Source organism: Homo sapiens, chromosome 8 (assembly GCF_000001405.40).
Source record: "Homo sapiens chromosome 8, GRCh38.p14 Primary Assembly".
NCBI classification, from domain to species: domain Eukaryota; kingdom Metazoa; phylum Chordata; class Mammalia; order Primates; family Hominidae; genus Homo; species Homo sapiens.
In genome coordinates, this window is record NC_000008.11 from 136,156,021 (window position 1) to 136,177,631 (window position 21,611).

A 21,611-nucleotide genomic window follows, 5' to 3' on the forward strand; every position below is an offset into this window, starting at 1 on the left:
CACAGACCCACTAGCTCCCCAATAATTGTGTCTCATTTTACTTTATATCTGCAATATTTAGCATAGTGCCTGACATACAAAATATTCTCAATAAGTGTTTGTTAAATGATTGAGTGGATTAATTATTTCTACCAGTGGCATAACAACCAAACACCTGATTCTTATCTGCCTGCTATCAATTTCCCCAGAGTTCAAATAGTGCCAGCTCTTCTCATTGATAAATGGACTCATTGTTCCTTCCATTGTGGATCATACAACACCTGTCTTCTAGGAAAGGAAAGTCCATTTCTCTAAGAGCCTAAGTTTCCATTACCCTCACAAGAGCAAAGGTAGGTCTCTCCCCTAAAAGGCTGTGAATAACAATATGCTCTCCCTTCATGATGCAAACAGGGCAGCAGACTTAAAATATAAATAATGACCTGAAAGCAAGGTAATTTGGAACTATTTCATAACTGATGAGCCATTATTCCTCCCTATCATCAATGCATCTAAAACAGGCTCTCCTATCACCTTGTTCAACCTCTATCATAAAATTAATTACCTCTGGATAGACCCCATTTAATTGCTCATAAAATTGATCTTACTTTTCAGATTTTATGGTAACTAGTATGTCATCAACAAAAGTGCCTAGAATAAATGGGATGCTTATTATACACCTTGAAATAAAATAAAACAAATCCATGATAGATGTAGGAGGCTTTGACATGTGTGTCTCTAGTACTGTAACAGACACTTGTAGACAAGTACACAATACCCCCAAAGATCTTTTCCTGGGTAGATTATTTATTTTAAAAAAATAATAAAAAGGTACTTTGATTCAGTTAGAACACTAAATGCATTTCATTTCAATAAGTATAAGGACTATTATTATTGTTCATGCATTTGTTCATTGTTTTATTCAATCTAGAGGCAGTTTGGGTATGGAAAGAACTTGTGATTTGGAGTTAGAAGAACTTGAATTCTAACCTTGTCTCTTGTATGTAATAACCACTATCCTTGGAAAATCACCTTTTCTAAACTTATCCTCAGTAAATTAATTATAATAATATTTATTTCTTTCAATATTTTTGTAGTTTTTGACATGGAGTCTCACTCTGTCACCCAGGCTGCAGTGCAGTGGCATGATCTCTGTTCACTGCAACCTCTGCCTCTCGGGTTCAAGCAATTCCCCTGACTCAACCTCCCAAGTAGCTGGGACTACAGGTGCATGCCACCATGCCAGTCTAAGTGTTTTTGTATTTTTACTAGAGACAGGGTTTCACTATGTTGGCCAGGTTGGTCTTGAACTCCTGACCTCAAGTGATCAGCCTGCCTCGACCTGCTGGGATTACAGCCATGAGCCACTATGTCCAGCCAATAATATTTATTTCATGGAGTGTTGTTAAGTTTAAATAAGATGATGAATACAAAACACCTAATAAAGGTCCTGGTCCAAAAAAAGACATTTAATCAATGTTAGATGCTATTACGTTACTATCACTGCTATTAATAAACCAACAAGAAAACCCACATGTCATTGAAGTGAGATAGCTTGAGCTTGATAGAAAGATGATAGGTTTTAATAGATCAGTGTTTGGATTCCAACTATGATTTAGAATCTGTATATCCTTAGGTGAGTTACTGAATCTCTCTCATGCTCCATATTCTCATATATGTGTGTTTATATATGTAGGTTTAACACTTACAGAATCAGATGAAATGGTAGATGAGAGGGAGCTCAAAGCCATGCTCGCTGTAGGGACCCCACATATATGGAAACCCTGGCTTCAGCCTCCACACTTCTCATCCTATTTCACTTTGGAGTGGTAGGGATGAGGCCTCTGAAATGCATCTGTTGTTTACTTCAATTGGCTGAAGAGCTGGACAGAGGGGCAGGATTCTGATCAGAAGAAAAAGATCATTATTGCCTACATCTGGTGGAGCTCAGGAGTTGGATAATTCTACTACATTCTCAGGTGATGATTGCCCCAGAAGACAGGCCTGGCCAAGCATCCAGTCCTAGGACTGGATGGGTGTGTCCAGGGCACACATTCTCTATCCTTTACTATCAAACCTTATGCCTCACTACTCAACTCCTCAAACCACATTTTTCAGTTGAAGAAAATTATTTTTCTTCCTCTAAGATTCGTCTCTCTCTTAGCGCCTGACTTTAGCCCTCGTAGTTCCCTCTGCCTGCAGCACTTGGATTCAGCTTCTGCTTGTTTCACTTAGACATTGCTATTCACTCTCATAATCTAGAGGACACGCCATGTCCTCTTCAGAGTCTTCTCTTAACCTCCAAGTCTAGGTTAGATGCTCTTTGTAATCAGCATGCGATTTCCCTTCCATGATGCTTACTACACTGCCCTATGAGCCCTGGCTTGTCCAGCTATAATTTACAAACTTAACCCCTGTGAACTTACCTGTCTGCCCTATTCACCTTTAGGTTCATTCAGTGCAGGTTTTCAGTGACAATTTGTTGAATTGTTAGAAGGAAGATATACTAGAATGGAAAACTCATAGGTCAGAGAAGAAGTGTCAAGATCAAATATCAAGGCCACTTGGCTTAGAGCTCAAAGGACAAGCTTCCATCCAGATAATCCAAAGGGCGAGGTCAATAAAAAAAAGCCCAATCAGAACCCAAGAAGTCAGAGTAGTCAGAGTGAAGGAAAAGGAAATGGAGTGGCCAAGAGAAGAGCCATAGACTAGATTTGGATTTATGCTGTCCTCATTGCAGTCTTTGATTAGCTGTGATGGCAGTGAAATGGGAATGTTCCCTTATCCCCCTCACAGGATGTGTGATAGGGATGTGGCTCACTTCTTCAGTACCCTGCTGCTCAAACCCCTAGGGGGACCATGCAGATGGGCAGATCGTGGGGAGCGTTTTTGGGCTCCAACCCCACAACAGCATCTAGGGTTGAGTGTTTACAGCTCCCAAAGCCCCAGTGGGTGTGTGTTACAGTGCGCCCTTTCAGTTTTGCTGTCTGCAGCTCAGTTAGACCCTCTGCCTTATCTCAAGGACAGAGGGCTTTCCGTATCCCGGCTTCTGGCCCCAGTGTACCAGAAAAATCAGATCACATGTGGGCTTCGAGGATGGGTGCATGGTTTTACTGGGTGGTGAAGGTTGCTCTCAGTGAGGTGGATAGGGAACCATAAGGGGAATGGAGTGGGAAGATGATCTTCCCCTGGAGTCAGCTGGACCCTCCTCCCACCTCCTGGGCTGAATTCTTCCTTGTCCTGCCATCAATGGCCTGCCAGTGTCTGCTGGTGTTTGTCGACGTGCTCTTCTGCTCCTCTCGAAGTCCAGCCACTTGTGTCTGTGCCTGCTAGGGTCTTGAGTTCTTATGGGCACAGGATGGGGATATGGTGGGCCAGAGTGGTCTTGGAAAACACGACATTTGGACGCAAAAGCAGGAGTGCCTGTTCTCACTTAAATCCGTGGGCACAGGCTTGAGGGTGGAGCCCTTGCCAGGGACCCCACCCTTCTCCACCCAGCACTTCCCTGATCCTGTCTTCTATCAGTAGGCCAGATGTAGCTGGTTTTAGAGGTCTTAAATAAAGGGGTTTGAACCATGGGCAGGGAAGAGAAATAGAGGTGTCTCCCGACTGGCATTATCAACAAGTTTCTGCAGGACAGACATAACACAGTATATGTTATTAAGAGCATTCATTCTACAGAAAACTTGGTTCTGTGACTAAGAGATTTTAGAAATTGCTGGGTTAAGCCAAGTTAACTATAGTCTTACCAGACTTCTGAGAATTTTCATAATGCTAATATCAGTTTCTAAGCTCTGACCATTTACCAAACAACATGACCATATAATCCTTTCTCTTTTTTAACGGATAATTTCATTGAGCTAGTATCCCATGAGACATTGGTTTAGAAAATATTGCTGTTCACTATTCTTAGTGTTTTGTATTATCTTCACGGCTGCTATCAATTCATGTATTTATTTATAGCTGGCCTCGTTTTGGAAAAGATTTAAAGCAATCAGTACAGAGATGATCATTAGAGTTTAGCTTTGCTTGGGGCTTTTTACACTAACTGTTTTTCTTGACCTGGAATTAAAATCTTCCTTCATGAATTCTATTGAAAACCTCAGAAGTTATTACTTTCCTCTGGCAGAAAAGATTCTCAGAGGTATCATCAACCTAGCTCATGAAGGTGGGAAAGTGAATGAGGGTTTCCAGGATCTAGTTTCTGAGTTTTTGACCTAGGATGCAACACAGACCCCAGTGCCTTATAGAGCAGATCCAGGGAGAAGACTAGTCATGATGTGGGAACCAGGGAGATGGGGAGACTCTGTGTCATTGTTCCATAATGCCGTTAAAAGTAATGGCAAAAACCACAATTACTTTTGCACCAATCTAATACATAGGTACAGCTGCCTGACCTTGGCAAAACTTGCTTAACTTTCTGGGTCTCAAATTTATTGTGAGCATATCCTAAATAGTAGTATCTACATCAAAAGGTCATTGGAGACATTAAATGAAGTAAGGTTTATAGACTCCCTACCACAGAGGAGAAGCTCTATTAATATTCTGGCTATAATGATATTGATAAAGGCACAGATTCTCATCTTCAAGGTTGCCCTAGAGCCAAGGTTTGTAGCTCCTTTTTGTTTTGGTCAATCTCTCACTTTTCCCAAATATTCCCTTTATCCATTTACTAGGGTAAAGTTTCCTGCTTTTTCTGAGAGGGTCCCCTGGAACCCTGAAGAAATATGAGTTGTATCTGTACCTGGTCACCTAAAGTAATGTCTTTTCTTCTTCAGCTGAGACCAACTACATGTGGGGAGAGAGATGTAAGGGAGCTGCCCCCAAGGAGCTCTGTGCAATGTGCTGATGGATTGAGGGTGGCACTTTGTGTCTAATTACTGGTGTGGGAGGACAGGGGCATGGAGGAAAGAGGAGGAAAGTGAATGGCAAAGGGAGTGAGGAAAAGAGACCAGGAGTTTTCTGCAAAGAAAGAAGAGTTAGAGGCCGGGCGTGGTGGCTCATGCCTGTAATCCCAGCAATTTGGGAGGCCAAGGTGGGTGGATCACATGAGGTCAGGAGTTCAAGACCAGCCTGGCCAACATGGCGAAACCCCATCTATACCAAAAATACAAAAAAAAATTAGCTGGGCATGGTGGCAGGTGCTTGTAATCGCAGCTACTCAGGAGACTGAGGCAGGACAATTGCTTGAACACGGGAGGCGGAGGTTGCAGTGAGCCGAGATTGTGCCACTGCACTCCAGCCTGGGCGACAAGAGTGAAACTCCATCTCAAAAAAACCAAACAAACAAAACAACAACAATAACAACAAAAAAAAAAGAAGAAGAAGAAGAAAAAAGAGTTAGAAAACCACAGTATTCCTCCCATGAGTTGCACACACCCACCTGTTCTCAACAAGAAAATCTGGACAGCATGGAAGATGCTTAGTTATATCGTGTGTAGCAATATAACCAAGTATAATATAACTAAAAACGTGTTTAGCAATGACCCAAAAAAAAACTGAGCTGTGCATTTCATTCATTTCATTTACTGTCATCCCCACACACATTCTTTTTTTTTTTTTTTTTGAGACGGAGTCTCGCTCTGTCGCCCAGGCTGGAGTGGGGCAATCTTGGCTCATTGGAAGCTCTGCCTCCCGGGTTCCCACCGTTCTCCTGCCTCAGCCTCCCCAGTAGCTGGGACTACAGGCACCCGCCACCACGCCCGACTAATTTTTTGTATTTTTAGTAGAGACGGGGTTTCACCGTGTTAGCCAGGATGGTCTCGATCTCCTGACCTCATGATCTACTGCCTCGGCCTCCCAAAGTGCTGGGATTGCAGGTGTGAGCCACTGCACCCGGTCAACGCACACATTCTTTGTAAGCAGGTTTTAAAAAATTTTAATCTTTTAAAATGCTTATTTTTTAAATGATGACACTGTTCATTCAGTAATCCCCCTTTCAGAAGATATCCTATGAAAATGATCTAAAATGCAAGCAAATATTGGGTGCATTTTGGGTCAGATGGCCTTCCATGCTCAAATGAGTAGAGTACTTTTGTTCAATCAGTTTATCACTGTCATCTAGATTTAGAATGAGCTGGTTCTCCATGTCTCAAATGATGCTGTGAGTAACCTTGATGAGAATGTGTTGGTGTTCCATGATGTGGAGTTCGAGGAAGCTGACTCACTTTCTCACCATGACTTTCAGCTGTGTACCATGCCTTTACCTGAGCCATCGGTTGCTCTCCAAATCCTGGCTCTGAATGGGTTTCACACATATGCCTCTATGTAAATCCTAAATTCCTGTTGATATTTTTCTCTCAGAGAGTCACATCCATAGGACTCAAAGCAGCTCTTATTTTTTTTTGCCTCAGTATATTAACAATCTTATAACATTCCTCCCCAGAGTATAGAATTAGCTTATAGTCATGAAAGGGTGGGTTTCATCTGTGTTCATCAGAATGTTCTATATCCACTGATTAATTTGCTTTTTCTTCAGTGACTCAGAGATGATTTCCTCTTCAGAAAACAGAAGAATTTTCTGACACATTTATCCAGGTAAAAAATTAAACACACATACACACAAACACTCTGTCCTCCAAAATACATATAATATTTGCTATTTCTTACAAGTGAGGTTACTTGCTCAATATTTGAGTAAAACTATTGATCAAGAAAGTTATGACTTTGTGTATCCTCACATTCTATAGTCGTACGCCATCCCATTGCAGAAACATGGGGCCACCCACTAATTGTCATATAGAGAAAATCAAAGTGGTATTGCAAAGCATGTGGCTTAAAGTGGGTGCTAAGGAAATGACAAGTGTTAACGAAAATGAAATTGCATTGGATATGATTTTTCTTTACATCTGGGATCAGGCAGACACTGAAACTTTATTTGCCCATGGACAAGAGAAAGACAGGAAGGAAATCCTCCCATAGTGCCTACTATGTGTGTTTTAACATGTTTAGTGTTTTATTCATGTCACCAGAAAGTCAAGCTTGTTGGACTCATGGAGTCTAATAAAACCACTTTATATTTGCTTCTAACCCTTTTAAACCCATTTAGGGCTAGCCATATTTTTGCTTCCCCTTAGTGACTTTCCCTGACTTCCTTGATTACACTTTATTTGCAAACACCATCTGAAGTCAGCAATTGAAAATGTCCAGTCTCCGTGAATTTTAACTTGGAAAGCTGGGAGCTTACAAGTGCTCACTCATCTAACTCTCTACATCCTGGGCACTTAGAAAAATAATATTTCCTAACTTTCATTGCAATTAGGTTTGCTGCCTACTTGTTGAATTCTGGCCATTGGAATATGAAAAAAAAAGGGAAGCTGTGAACCAGAGTCCTGCCAACCCCTCTACCTAACACATATGCATACCCACTGACAAAATTTAGACATGTTATAGGAGGAGAAATGCAGATGTGTGGTGTGAATTGACTGGCTTTGTGGAGTTTGTCATCTCATCTATCTAGTCTGTCTTGACTAATTTCCTGAACTTGATTTAGTTTCAAATCTTCTGTCCTCTACAAGCTGGCATTGACTTTGAACCGCCCATTTAAAGTGAGAGAGGGTGGCAATGTCCTCCTACTTCCCCACCGCCCCCCCCCCAACCGCCCCCACTGGGTCTTTCTCTCTCCAAACTTATAAAATTGTTTGTTTGTTTTTTTTTTTTGAGATAGAGTCTCGCTCTGTCACCCAAGCTGGAGTGCAGTGGCATGATCTCAGCTCACTGCAACCTCCGACTCCATGGTTCAAGCTATTCTCCTTCCTCAGCCTCCCTAGTAGCTGGGATTACAGGCATGCACCACCACGCCCAGCTAATTTTTGTATTTTTAGTAGAGATGGGGTTTCACCATGTTGGCCAGGATGGTCTTGATCTCCTGACCTTGCGATCCACCCGCCTCGGCCTACCAAAGTGCTGGGATTACAAGCGTGAGCCACCGCACCCGGCCCCAAACTCATAAAATAGTTTTCTGACCCCTCCAAGCAGAGAGGTGAGAGTTGAAGTACTGTGAACAACAAAGTTTGTATCTGTTGTTTTCACATTTGGCAGATGAGTAGAGCTTGCCCTTTCGGTTTTTTGGGAGAGTGTTTTTGTGAGTTTCTGGTATTCTACCACTGCGATTCCTATGATGTGGCCTCCTTTGGTTGTCTCCTCCCAAATTACCATTGGGCTTCTGCCATACCAAAAACCTACACAGCCCATTACTGCTAGGTTTTGTCACCCTGGAAGGCTGCCCTTTCTGGCAGGACCTCTTTAGAGAGGATCCAGGGTTCCCATCCTACCTCATCTGGTCCTAAAGCCCCATGTATGTTTGGCTCTCAGAGAGAGTGACCTGACTTTACTTCCCAGGTGCGGCCCTCCACCCTGCAGCCTAAAGTTATGGCAATACTCTCAGGCATGGATCAGCACCCACTCTTGCCCCTCTGCCTCAACTACAGGAACACATGTCAAACCGCACTGCACTGCTACAGTCTACTTATCAGTCTCCTACCTCTCCACACTTGCATCAGCCCCAATGTCCTTTCCAGAAGTCTCCTTTGCAGACTCCTGGATCACTACTCTGTCTACCCTTTTGTAGTATCATTTTGTGACAGCTATGCAACCAGTTATTTTTCCATGGTGTTCTGTCCCAGTTCACTTTGGAATGTAGCATCTGTTGAATTCATGCCTCATGAAGCATGAAGAGTTCCATTTTAACATCCCGTTATACATGCATTGTCTCATTTAAACTCCATATGTGCCCTGTGAGCTATATTAACTCTTACTTCATTGGTAAGAAACATAAATTTCAGGGAGGTTAACAGGGCCTAATATGTAATAAGCCAGAACATATGAGGAAAAGGGCTCTGTCTGTCTTATCACTTCTGCATCACTGAACATACAGCAGTAACTGGCACATAGGATATGCTTCAGGTTTTTCCAATATAAATAAATAATATGAGAATTTACAAATCAGTTGCTATTTACTCTATTCCAGGGTTTCTCAGTCTTGGCACTGTTGATATTTGGGACCAGACAACTCTTCACTGCGGGGGCCTGCCCTGTGCTTTAGAGAATAATTATCAACATCCCTGGCCTCAACCCATGAGAAGTCAGTCTCAGCCCTTGTAATTAGGCATATCTCCAGGACTAGTTAGAGTACATGAAATTGTTTACAGATATAATGGGAACCACTTCAAAGCCTAGCACATAGAAACTTTCTATGTATGATTCTTCATTCTCTTTTACCCACAGATTGGATGATATGGAGATGAACACCAGGACTATTTTAGAAACTGCATGTTGAAGACCACTGAGATATAAAACTTAGAAAAAAAAAGGTTCTGAATCAATGCCTTGTGAAGACAGTTGCACAGGTTAGTTGCTGGAGCATATTCATCTTTAGAATGTTTCATAAGAAGAAATAAACTTTTACTCTGCTAAGTCATTGAGATTTGATTATTTATTTCTTATAGCAGCTAGTGTTATCATAGCTAACTCACTCTTTGCATAGACTTAAATAAGTAAAAATGAGAGCTGATATAAAGAGAAAAAGTGTAGTTAATTATATCTCAAGTGATTCATCAGTATGATAAAATTCTAAAAAGTAATGCACAACAATAGATCAGTTAGATTTAAGAGAGACAAAGCTGTGAAAGAGAAAATGCTACACACCAGGGGTTCTTTTCTATTTAACTTTTTCTGAGGTTATATCAGAAAATAAGGGAAAATAATGAAAAAAATAAGGGAAAGACTCTTTGCTTTAAGAAGACCCTCATGAGATTTTTTTTTTTTTGGAAAATAATTAAGATTTATATTAGGCAAGGTAACTGCATTAGTTTTTTAGTGCTGCATAAAAAAAGCCACAAATTTAGCATCTTAAAACTGCATGCTTTCATACATTCATTATCTCACAATTTCTATAGCTCAGAAGTGTGGGTAGAGTTTAACTGGGTCTTCTGCTCAGGGTACCACCAGGCTGAAATCCAGGTGTTCACCAGGACTTTTCTTCACCTGGAGGCCCAGCTGGAGAAGAATCTGCTTCCAAGCTCCATCAGACTGTTAGAAAATTAACTTCCTGTGGCTATAGGATTCATGGCACGTTGCTTCTTCAAAGCCAGCAATGGAAAGAGTCTTCTGCTCCAAGAATGACATGTAGTCACTCAGAAAGGGATCATATGACTAGGTAATGTCCACCCAGAATAATATCGCTTTTGATTAAGTTAAAGTCAATCGATTAGAGGCTTGAATTGCATCTGAAAAATGTATTTTCTTTACCGTACAACATAAATTAGAGTTCAGTATGGATTAGCAAGAGGAATCTGCATTTTCAAAGATGTTTGGAAACCAGTCTTTCTCTATCTTTGTCTCCACCTACATTTAAGTTCTTTGAAGTCTTTCCACACAGCTACAAATAGAAAAAGAGAATTACAAATTATCTATGGGAGATTTGTTATTTAATGGGTCAGTTCTAAGCATTAAGCAAGTTAATCCTACTCACATTTCACTGGCTGGATGTCACCTCTGTGTAGTTGCAGGGAAGTTGTAAAATGTAGTCTAGCTGTGTGCCCAAAAAGAGAAAAAGGTGGACAGTGTTCTCAGTTCTCAGTCCACCCTTCTGATCACTGCCAAAGCATCTGTTTCCCTTGTCTCGCCCACAGCAAAACTCTCATACCTTTCCCAAGAGAATCAAGCTGGATATTTCACATCCCAATGCATCCTGTTCAAAATCTAATATGGAGCATCTCCAAGAGGTGCTCAGCTTTTCCATCAGATCTGGATAGGTCTTCCTATCATTCAATAATTTATTTTAAAGAAAAAGAAATTGTCTATCCTCCAATCTTCCTCAATTTTGAAGAAATTCTAAATCAGAAAGTGAATGAATGAGAAACCACAGAAGAAACTGGTCTGCAGCAATTTGGATGTCCCACTGAACAGGCTTTATGAAGGTCATCCACCCTGAGAAAGCAGGTGCATTTCCTAATTAAATCCTGTTTCTGCTCTTTGGAAGAAACATCGTTGTCCCTTGTTCTTTATGGATATTTGCTCTATCCTCTGGGAGTATTTTCTTGTCCATTTTCCAGGGTGCATATTTCAGATCTGACAGGTTTCTGTAAATCTGTAAAGTCCATTTCTGCTGGTATACATATGGAGTCTTGAAGGCTATTTTATTTTTATTTTTGAGATGGAGTCTTGCTCTGTCACTCAGGCTGGAGTGCAGTGGCATGATCTTGGCTCACTGCAACCTCCGCCTCCAAGATTCAAATGATTCTCTTGCCTCAGCCTCCCAAGTAGCTGGGATTACAGGCATCCACCACCATGCCAAGCTAATTTTTGTAATTTTAGTAGAGACAGAGTTTCTCCATGTTGGCCAGGCTGGTCTCAAACTCCTGGCCTCAGGTGATCCACCCACTTGGACTCCCAAGGCGCTGGGATTACAGGTAGGAGCCACTACTCCTGGCCTTGAGAGCTGTTTTAAATATCAAAAATGATGGTTTCCAGTTTCATCCATGTCGCTGCAAAGGACGTAAACTCATCCTTTATTATAGCTGCATAGTATTCCATGATGTATATGTGCCACATTTTCTTTATCCAGTCTATCATTGATGGGCATTTGGGTTGGTTCCAAGTCTGGAAACCTCATTCTCAGCAAGCTAACACAGGAACAGAAAACCAAACACTGAATGCTCTCACTCATAAGTAGAAGTTGAACAATGAGGACACATGGACACAGGGCAGGGAACATCACACACCAGGGCCTGTCGGGGTGTGGTAGGTTAGGGAAGGGATAGCACTGGGAGATGATGGGTTGATGGGTGCAGCAAACCACCATGGCTCGCGTATACCTATGTAACTAACCTGCACGTTCTGCACATGTATCCCAGAACTTAAAGTATAATAAATAAGCAAACATCAAAGAATCAAGGGCTGTTTGGTAGTATTTTTACAATATGATTTATCCCCAAAGTAAGAGGGTTATAATCTACTTGTTCCTTCCTTCCCCATGCCTCTTACTTTCCACTTAATGGGTTGACATTCTGAGGCACATTGCATAAGCCTTCTCAGAAGGTCTTGTTTTGATTGGCACCTGTCACACACAGCAGTGGCCTCTGTCATTATATATCTTAGGTTGGAACTTTCTGCTTGCCTGCATTGTTTTCCTAGTCTTTCATTCTTACTCAAATAAGACACCCAAACATAAAACTGTCTCAGGCTCTGCTTTCAAGACAACTAAGCTGAGACACTACTTTTTGCAAAAATGCTAAATCTTCAAGGATCTTTGTCAATCCAAGGCTTTTTCAATCTTACTTCCTATTTTGAGGTCTCAGAAGTGGTGATTTTACCAACCCTTTAAGGTCCCAAATGTCTGAACTGCCGCTTGTCTCTTTCTTTTTCTACTTATAAAGTAGCCAGTTATTGACTAACATCATCATTTTCTTTTAATACTTTCCTAAGATCAGCCAATATAAAGCAACACACATCGTCACCCCAACTCCTCCTGGTCACTCCTTTAGAGCTATATTCTCAGTCAACTCATGTAGTGCTCCCAAATTAAGTCAAGCAACAGTTTTAATTGAAACTTTTATTAAGATAATTGTAAATTCACATACAATTACAATAAATACTACATAGATATAATTTCTATGCTTCTCTCAGTTTCCTCCAATAGCAATATTTTGCAAAACTATATTAAATATTGCAACAAGGACTTTGAGATTTATACAGTCCACTGATTCAAATCGCCCCAGTTTTACTCTATGCATATATGTGTATATCAAGTTCTCTATAATTTTATCACTCTTGTAGGCTCATGTATCTACCACCACAGTCAAGATACTAAGAAGTCCCAACACCGCAAAGATCCTTATTTTGCCTTTTTACAGCTATCCCCATAATTATACTTTTTCCACCCTGCCCAGCTCTGTCACTAACTCCTAACCACTAATCTGTTCTCCATTTTTAACATTTTATCATTTCAAAATGCTGTATACATTTAATAATACAGAATTTAACCTTTAGGAATTTACTCTTCATGGAGCATAATTCTCTGCAGATTCACCCAAGTTGTTGTTTATTCATCCTTATTGCTGCATAGTATTCCATGCTACCTACGTACTAGAGATTGTTAACCATTCCACTGTTGAGGGACATTCAGACTCATTCATATTTCTGGCTATTACAAATAAGGCTAATATGAATACTCATGTACAGGTTTTTGTATGAAAATAAGTTTTCATTCCTTTGGGAGAAATGCCCAAGTATGTAACTGTCTGGTCATATGGTAAATTTATGTGTAGTTTTATATGGAACTGTCAAACTGTTTTTCAGTGGGTATATTAATAAACATTCCCAACAGCAATATATGACTGATTCATTTTCTCTGTATTGTCACCAGCATTTGGTGATGATGTTTTTTGTTATTAATTTCACCCCTTCTGATAGGGGTATAGTGATATATCATTGTTGTTTTAATTTGCATTTCTCTGATGGCTAATGATGTTGGACATTGTTTTTATGTGCTATTTGTTTTATTCATATCCTCTTCAGTGAAATGTCTCTTCATCTTTTTTAACTGTTGAATCTAGAGAGTTCTTTATATGTACTAAACACCAGTCCTCTGCCAGATATAAAGTTTGCAATATTTTCTCCTAGATTGTAGGTTGTATTTTCTTCTTCTTCACATAGACTTTTCTTCTTCTTCGCATAGACTTGCTCATCATCACTGGCCATCAGAGAAATGCAAATCAAAATCACAATGAGATATCATCTCACACCAGTTAGAATGGCAATCATTAAAAAGTCAGGAAACAACAGGTGCTGGAGAGGATGTGAAGAAATAGGAACACTTTTACGCTGTCGGTGGGTCTGTAAACTAGTTCAACCGTTGTGGAAGACAGTGTGGCGATTCCTCAGGGATCTAGAACTAGAAATACCATTTGACCCAGCCATCCCATTACTGGGTATATACCCAAAGGACTATAAATCATGCTGCTATAAAGACACATGCACACGTATGCTCATTGCAGCACTACTCACAATAGCAAAGACTTGGAACCAACCCAAATGTCCAACAATGATAGACTGGATTAAGAAAATGTGGCACATATACACCATGGAATATTATGCAGCCATAAAAAAGGATGAGTTCATGTCCTTTGTAGGGACATGGATGAAGCTGGAAACCATCATTCTCAGCAAACTATTGCAAGGACAAAAAAACAAACATCGCATGTTCTCACTCACAGGTGGGAATTGAACAATGAGAACACTTGGACACAGGAAGGGGAACATCACATACCAGGGACTGTTGTGGGGTGGGGGTAGGGGGGGAGGGATAGCATTAGGAGATATACCTAATGTAAATGATGAGTTAATGGGTGCAGCACACCAACATGGCACATGTATACATATGTAACAAACCTGCACGTTGTGCACATGTACCCTAAAATTTAAGTATAATAAAAAAAAAAGAAAAAAAAACAATTCCTCTTCCCCCCGACAAAAAAAAAAAGGAAAGAACTTTTTTTTGTAGCCACTGATGAGATGCAATTTATCAATTTTTTTCTTTTTTGGATTATGCTTTTGGTGTCTAGTCTGAGAACTCTTAGACTATTCTTAGATCTTAAAGATTTTCCTCTTTTGTCTTAAAGTTTTATAGATTTATGTTTTACATTTAAGTCTATGATCAATTTTGAGTTGATTACTTTATGATGTGTGAGGTTTACATTGAAGTACAATTTTTTGGCCTATGAATGACCAAATGCCCCTGCCTTATGTGTTTAAAAGATCATCTTTCCTCCTTTAAGTCAGCTTCTTACCCTTGCCAAAATCAGTTAAACATATATGTGTGCATCTTGTTCTAGGATCTTAGTTTTATTCTATTGATTTATGTGTCTAACCATTTAGTAACACAACACAATCTTAATTACTGCAGCTATATGGTAAATCACTTTCACTTGTATTAAGTCCACACAATGAGATATTTTCTATGTTGTAGTTTTTAGTTTCTTAATTTCCATTTGGCTATTTTTTAGTAACTTCTTTTGCTGAGATTTTTCAGTCTTTCATTTGTCTCAAAATAATTTGTGATTGAATTTTGGAACATTTTTATAACTACTTTTAAAAAATTTGTGTCATGTAATTCCAACATCTGATTCATCTCAGTATGGCATCAGTTGATTTTCTTATTCAAGTTATGATTTGGTGGTGGTGGGGTATGATATTAAAGGTAATTTTCAGCTATATCCTCCTGGACATTTTGTCTGTTACATTAGAATAGTTTTGTTTCTATTTAAATATTTTATTTTTGCAGGCAGTCATCTAGTCTAGGTTTAGAATGCAGCCTTTGGCCTAATTCATGAGCTGTGGTTTCAAGGAGAGTTTAATTTGCAGAACCTTTACAGTGTTACTCTCATCTACTTGGTGCGGTGCTGCTGGGTTCCCACTGGTTCTGGCTAGTGCTCCCTCAGGTTGCAGAAGTGGGGTTCTCAAGTCTAGCCACTAGGTGTCTTTCACTGGTGAAAGGTATAGCGGGATCCCCACTTACTGAAGCCCCTGATTCTTCTGGTGTCTCTGGATGGGGAAGGACAGTCTTGGATCTGTGGGAACAAAGAGGCTCCCTGGACTTGGCTGCTTGCTTTACTGGGTCATTCCTGCAATCATGCCTGACCCATACAGAATCTTTCAATGGAAAAAGTCAGTCTCAGGCCCAATGGGAAAGAAGAACTCTTTGCCTGGACTCCTACTATTTTAGGGTCTACCAATCAACCCCTTTTGACGGTGGTTTTGGGATAAACTGGTGTTGTCAGAAAGGCTCCAGTTGGATTTGCAGGCAGAATGAGCCTACCTGAGCTATCCTCTGTTGGTAAGTCAGGGATTAGTAAATGCCAGGTCTGGGTGGCCTTCCTCAATTGGATGACAGGATAAAACATGCCCTGCTGCTGTGCTGTGCTGTTCTTCCAGCCTTGGAGTTCCAAATCAGCTCGCCCTCTTCCTACACCCCTTAGAGTTCTCCTATGGTTATCTCTTCCACCAGTTCTGGGGTTTATAGTGGCATTTCCTGGAGAGGAACAAGGAAAAGCTATGCCATCTTATTTGTACCAGAAGTCCAAGAAACATTTGTACCAAGTGTTCGGTTATGATATAAGCAGGCCCTCTCCTTTTATTCTCTGATACATGTTTCTGCACTACCCATAATAAATAATCTGATTTGAGGTACATTTTTCTGCCCCAAATAGGATTTGCCCTTTATCAAAGACCTGTGTATTGCTCTCTATAGCCTATTGATATAAACCATCATCCTTCACCTAATATACAAGATGTTCCACAGCCAAGCCATTGTTTCTCTGTTTTATTTTTAATTCCTCCCACATACACACCTTACAAACATTCCTGATTTGCTGTCCTTAACCAACATTCCCACCTCTATTCAAATTGTCCCTTCTACCTGAAATGTTCTCTCTCCTGTGCTTCTTTAGAAATGCTTGTGGGATTTCACCTCATGTTCTAATGATTGAGAAAGTCAGGGTCAACTTCTAAAAGACTGTGGATGCCAAGTTAAGGTTTATGCACTTTAGCCTGTAGGTAAAAGCAATTTCCTGGCTGGCCTCAATCCTCTGAGAACCCTTATTAGTGGTTACTGAGGCTGTACTCTCTGGGTTACTTGATTTGTAAAGAGGGAAGCGTGCCTCACTGCTTTGTTTTGGAAGTCAGTTGACATTCAGTTATTAGACTAATCCAAATTGTGTTTTCCAATGAATGTCTCAAGGGAAAGATTCCAATTCACTTTGGCTACTTAAGAGAAGTTGTCAGAGTAAATTAAGGACTCTGCTCTTGCTCAGGCAGTGGATGTCTCTAGAATAATACCTGTTGGTTTTTCTTGATGTGCAGAATACCCTTGTTTGAAGTCTGATTGGGCCACATAGCCGTAGAGAAAGTAGTTCTTCTGGCTGGGCACAGTGGCTCACGCCTGTAATCCCAGCACTTTGGGAGGCCAAGGCAGGCGGATCACGAGGTCAGGAGATCGAGACCATCCTGGCTAACACGGTGAAAAACCATCTCTACTAAAAATACAAAAAAAAAATTAGCTGGGTGTGGTGGCGGCGGCTGTAATCCCAGCTACTTGGGAGGCTGAGGCAGGAGAATGATGTGAACCCGGGAGGTGGAGCTTGTGGTGAGCCAACATCGCGCCACTGCACTCCAGCCTGGGCTACAGAATGAGACTCCATCTCAAAAGAAAAAAAAAAAAAAAAAAGAGAGACAGAAAGTGGTTCTTCTGTAGAGAAATAAACATACGTCCAAAAATATAGCTTCCATGAATTTATATGCCTATTATATTTAAGACACTAGGTTCTAGAAAGTGTATGAAAATGTTAACAGTATAGCGCCTGTGTTCCGCAGGTATAAAATATTTATTTATTCACTCATGCACTCCTTATTCAATCACCTTTTCATATGTTGATTTAATATTTACTCTTTGCCAGTTATCTGCCAGTTATTTTGCTAAGTGCTAGTGTTATAATGAATAAGGCTTATATCCCTCAAGCAGCTCTTCACCAATCAGAGGACAGGTTCGCATACAGAGTCTTATCAAACGATGTGATTAGGGCAGTGGCTTACTGCCACACTCTTACCACAGGCATGTAGGACCCCATAAAATATAAATGGGAGATTTCTAACTCAAAATGCAGGAAAATTAGGCATTCTAAAAAAGCTATGGAGGAGATTTTAAAGGGTGAGTAGGCATTAAGGCAGAGAAAATAAAGCAGGCACTCAGAGGAGTGGACACAGTCTAGGAGAGAAGTTGCATCCTGTTTGTCTGAACACTGAAGAGTAAGAGACAGCCTTGGAGAGGTAGGCAGGGAAGGGTCACTAACAAGCATTAATGGCTGTGATTTGCATGGTGCTTTACTGTTTATAATTGCTTTGTTTGATTATCACACAAAAATCCTTGATGATTAATTCAACTCATGTGGCTCAATATACAGGAGTTATATGAAGATCCATTAAATTAAGCCCTATCTAACTGCCTCCTTCTCTCCCTTTTATCCTTCCTTTCCTCATTTGTCCATGTGTTTGTTTCTCCTTTCCTCCTTCCCTCCCTCTCTCCCTCTCTTTCTTTCTTCAAAAAATATTTACTGAATACCTACTAAGTTTCCTCAGCAATGTTAGACAACAAGGACGAACGTGAAAAACAATTGAAAAAAAAAAAAACCCTTATAAATTTTGCATTATAGCCTAGAATAACCATATCCAAGTTAAAAGGCAAATATTTAAATATTTAAAATTATTCTGAATTACATGTTAGCAAGAAAAAATAAGAGAGGCTGAAATTATACATAAAATAATGATAAGGAAATCTTCTAATACAGTGATGTTTCAAATAGATTCAAAGGAAGAAAAGAACCCCCAATAAACATAGTTGTAGAGGAAACAAAGCAGAGAAAGCAAAGTTCAAAGTGCCAGAGTGTAGAGTAAGATTTGAAATGAGACTGGTGCAGACGGATCGCAGAGGGGGAAGAGAAATACAATGTCAATGGTAATTACACACAGGGGCTAGGTCATCCAGGACTTTGCAGGCCTGAGAAGGGGATTTGGCATTTACTTGAAGTGTAATGGGAAGACACTGGCTAGTTTTAGCCATGGACTGACGTCATCTGGTTTGTATTTTTAATAGTATACTCTGAGTGCTCTGTGGAGAAATAGAATGTAGCAGACAGTGAGACTGGAAGATCTGAGACCAGTCAGGAGGCCATTTAAATAATCCAGGTGAGAGATGATAGGGGTCACACTATTGTTGGCAGTAAAAGATGAGAAAAAAGTAAAGATGGTGTAAACTTTTCAAGATAGGCTCAAGAGGTCTTCGGAATGGAAAGAATGGGGATTTGCTAGTAAGTGTGAGAGGATCAACAGTTACTCCTAAGATTCAGGCTTAAAAACTGGATGGATGATGTGCTTATTTATTTGCTGAAACTGGGAACTCAGAGTGGATCACAACTTCCCCACCCAAATGCATATATATGAGAGAGAGATATATATGCGAGATTATATATATATATATATATATATATATATATATATATATGCATATCTGCAGCATTAGTGGACTCTGTGAGGATCTGGTTGAGTTTGATTCTGATCATCCAAGCACATGAGCTGCAGGACAAGCTCCACAATCAGGAACATGGAATTTTTATCAGATTTCTTTGCAGTGAAGGCAAGTGGGCACATTCCCTGGCTGCTGCAATTGGATGTGCTCTAGGAGACATCAGGTCAGACTCAGTATCCAGAAGAAGGTGGAGGCATACAGAATCAGTCACAGCAAGACAGACATCTGAGTTTCAGCAATGTCAGTGCAGGCTACAGAGCCCTGTTCTCAGTGAGAGCAGCTTTTTTATATGTTTTCTTTATTACATCTACCTATGATATTGTTTGGCTCTGTGTCCCCACCCAAATCTCACCTTGAATTGTAATAATCCCCATGTGTCAAGGGTGAGACCAGGTGGAGATATTTGAATCATGGGGACAGTTTCTCTCATACTGTCCTTGATAGTGAGTGAGTTCTCATGAGGTCTGATGGTTTTATAAGGAGCTTCCCCCTTCACCCGGCACTCATTCTCTCTCCTGACACCCTGTGAAGAGTTGCCTTTTGCCATGATTGTAAGTTTCCTGAGGCGTCCCCAGCCATGCAGAGCTGTGAGTCAATTAAACCTCTTTTCTTTATAAATTATCAAGTCTTGAGTATTTCTTCATAGCAGAGTGAAAATGAACAAATACAACCTATTTACTTACTCATGTGCTCCTTATTCAATTGCCTTATTTTCTTTTTCTGACACTCCAGGAAAGAACCATGGATCTGTTTAGGACATGTTCATGTTATGAGGCATTAAAGAGATATAAAAGGAACATTTGGTTGTTTAAGTCTGGGGATCAGAAGTGAGGTTGGGGCCAGAAATACTAATTTGGAAATTACCAGCAAAATAGGCATTAGAATATATGAGAGCAAGGGGAAAGGGAAAACAGAGTCAATGTGTAGAAAGAAAGTGACAATATGAAGACTGACCATTAAGTTGGTGATATTATTTTGCAAAATGTAAACTCAGGTCTATTGAGGGCCCTACTGTGGCTACGGATTTTATTTCAGGATATTTATCTATTACTGAGCCCCCCTAGATGCTCAGAACTCTCTGGCACTTTTATGAACCAACAATACAACTTATCCGACTATCAACTATACTGTGGGAAAAATTCACACGCACACACATACACAGAAAGAGAGAGGAGAGAGAGAGAGAGAATACAGACTCATTTATTTAACTGAATTAATAGCTTTTAGGAAAAAATATTTGATTAGTAGTGGCCTTTTTTAAATGAGGCACTAGTGAGTAAGTATTGGCTTAACTAAATCAGTTATTGTGTCAGTATTATTTGGATAAGCAGCCTTCTTGCAAATAGATGAGTAGTAGGGAGAGCAGAAGGAACATTCAGATAAAAGTCAAGCCTGAACAAGGCAGGAAGCATGTAAGGTCATGGAGTGCTGAGGATGCTTGATTCTCTTAGAGCATCAAGTCACAGAGGGAAGCAGCAAAATCTTTGACTTTGTATAGGTTTCACAGAGACACACAGTTAGTGGCAGGTGGGAGATTTGAATTCAGCTCTCTTGACTCTAAGTGCAGAGCTCTTCCTTTATCCATGCTTTTCTTGTCTTCAGTTTTTTTACCTTCTTAATAATTTGGTCTGTGATATGTGATATGATTTAGCTGTGTCCTCACCCAAAATCTCATCTTGAATTGTAATCCCCATAACCCCCATGTGTCAAGGGAGAGACCAGGTGGAGGTGATTGGATAATGGGGCAAGTTTCCCCCATGCTGTTCTCATGATAGCGAGTGAGTTCTCATGAGATTTAATGGTTTCATCCCTGTTTGGTGTTTTCTCCTGTGTTCATTTCTCCCTCCTGCTGCCTTGTGACTTAGGTACCTTGTTAACCCTTTTGCCCTTCACAATGATTCTAAGTTTCCTGAGGCCTCCACAGCCATGCTGAACTGTGAGTCAATTAAACCTCTTCCCTTTATAAATTACCCAGTCTTGGGCGGTTCTTTATAGCAGTGTGAGAACAGACTAATATTGCCTGTTTTTTAAACTTATTTTTATGTGGCTATCTGAAGCATTACCGTTGTGTGTATAGCTCACATCCTATTTCTATCATATGGTGTTGCACTTGAATACTTTCTTTAAGCCAAATCTGCACCCTGAAAATCTGGGCCCTAGGATAGGCTCTACTCAAAGAAAGTTTTGATAGTGTGGGTGCCAGGAGCAAATACTCCATTGTTCATCATGGGTTCAAGTTCCTGCCAACTATCTGATGGCTCTTGGACCCTGCATTCTGTTTCTTCATCTGTAAAATTTAGGTTCTTGTGAGGATTAACTTTAAAAGAAACACATAAGCAATTAACTCCTGAAATGAACCAGCTGTGGGGCCTTAAATAAGTTACGTAAGGTTCCCAGGTCTTCGCTTTGTAAAGTAGTGTGGAATCATTAGGTGTGCAGCTCTATCAATCTCCTATCATTACAGGATTGCAGTGTGACTAGGAGGTTAGTTGTTGTGTACTTGGGTAAATTACTTAGTTTCTCTGTCTCTTTGTTTTCTTATCTAAATAGGAGGATG

The 21,611-nt window shown here is 40.3% G+C and overlaps 1 long non-coding RNA gene across 1 annotated transcript; it reads left to right on the plus strand.

The window, feature by feature from the left end:
* Positions 1–6,451: 6,451 nt before the first annotated feature.
* LOC107986979 (uncharacterized) lies at positions 6,452–10,184 on the plus strand. The gene is made up of 3 exons (XR_001746101.1): positions 6,452–6,513; positions 9,202–9,323; positions 9,914–10,184. It is a non-coding gene; the product is annotated as an uncharacterized LOC107986979 (long non-coding RNA).
* The last annotated feature ends 11,427 nt before the right edge of the window (positions 10,185–21,611 follow it).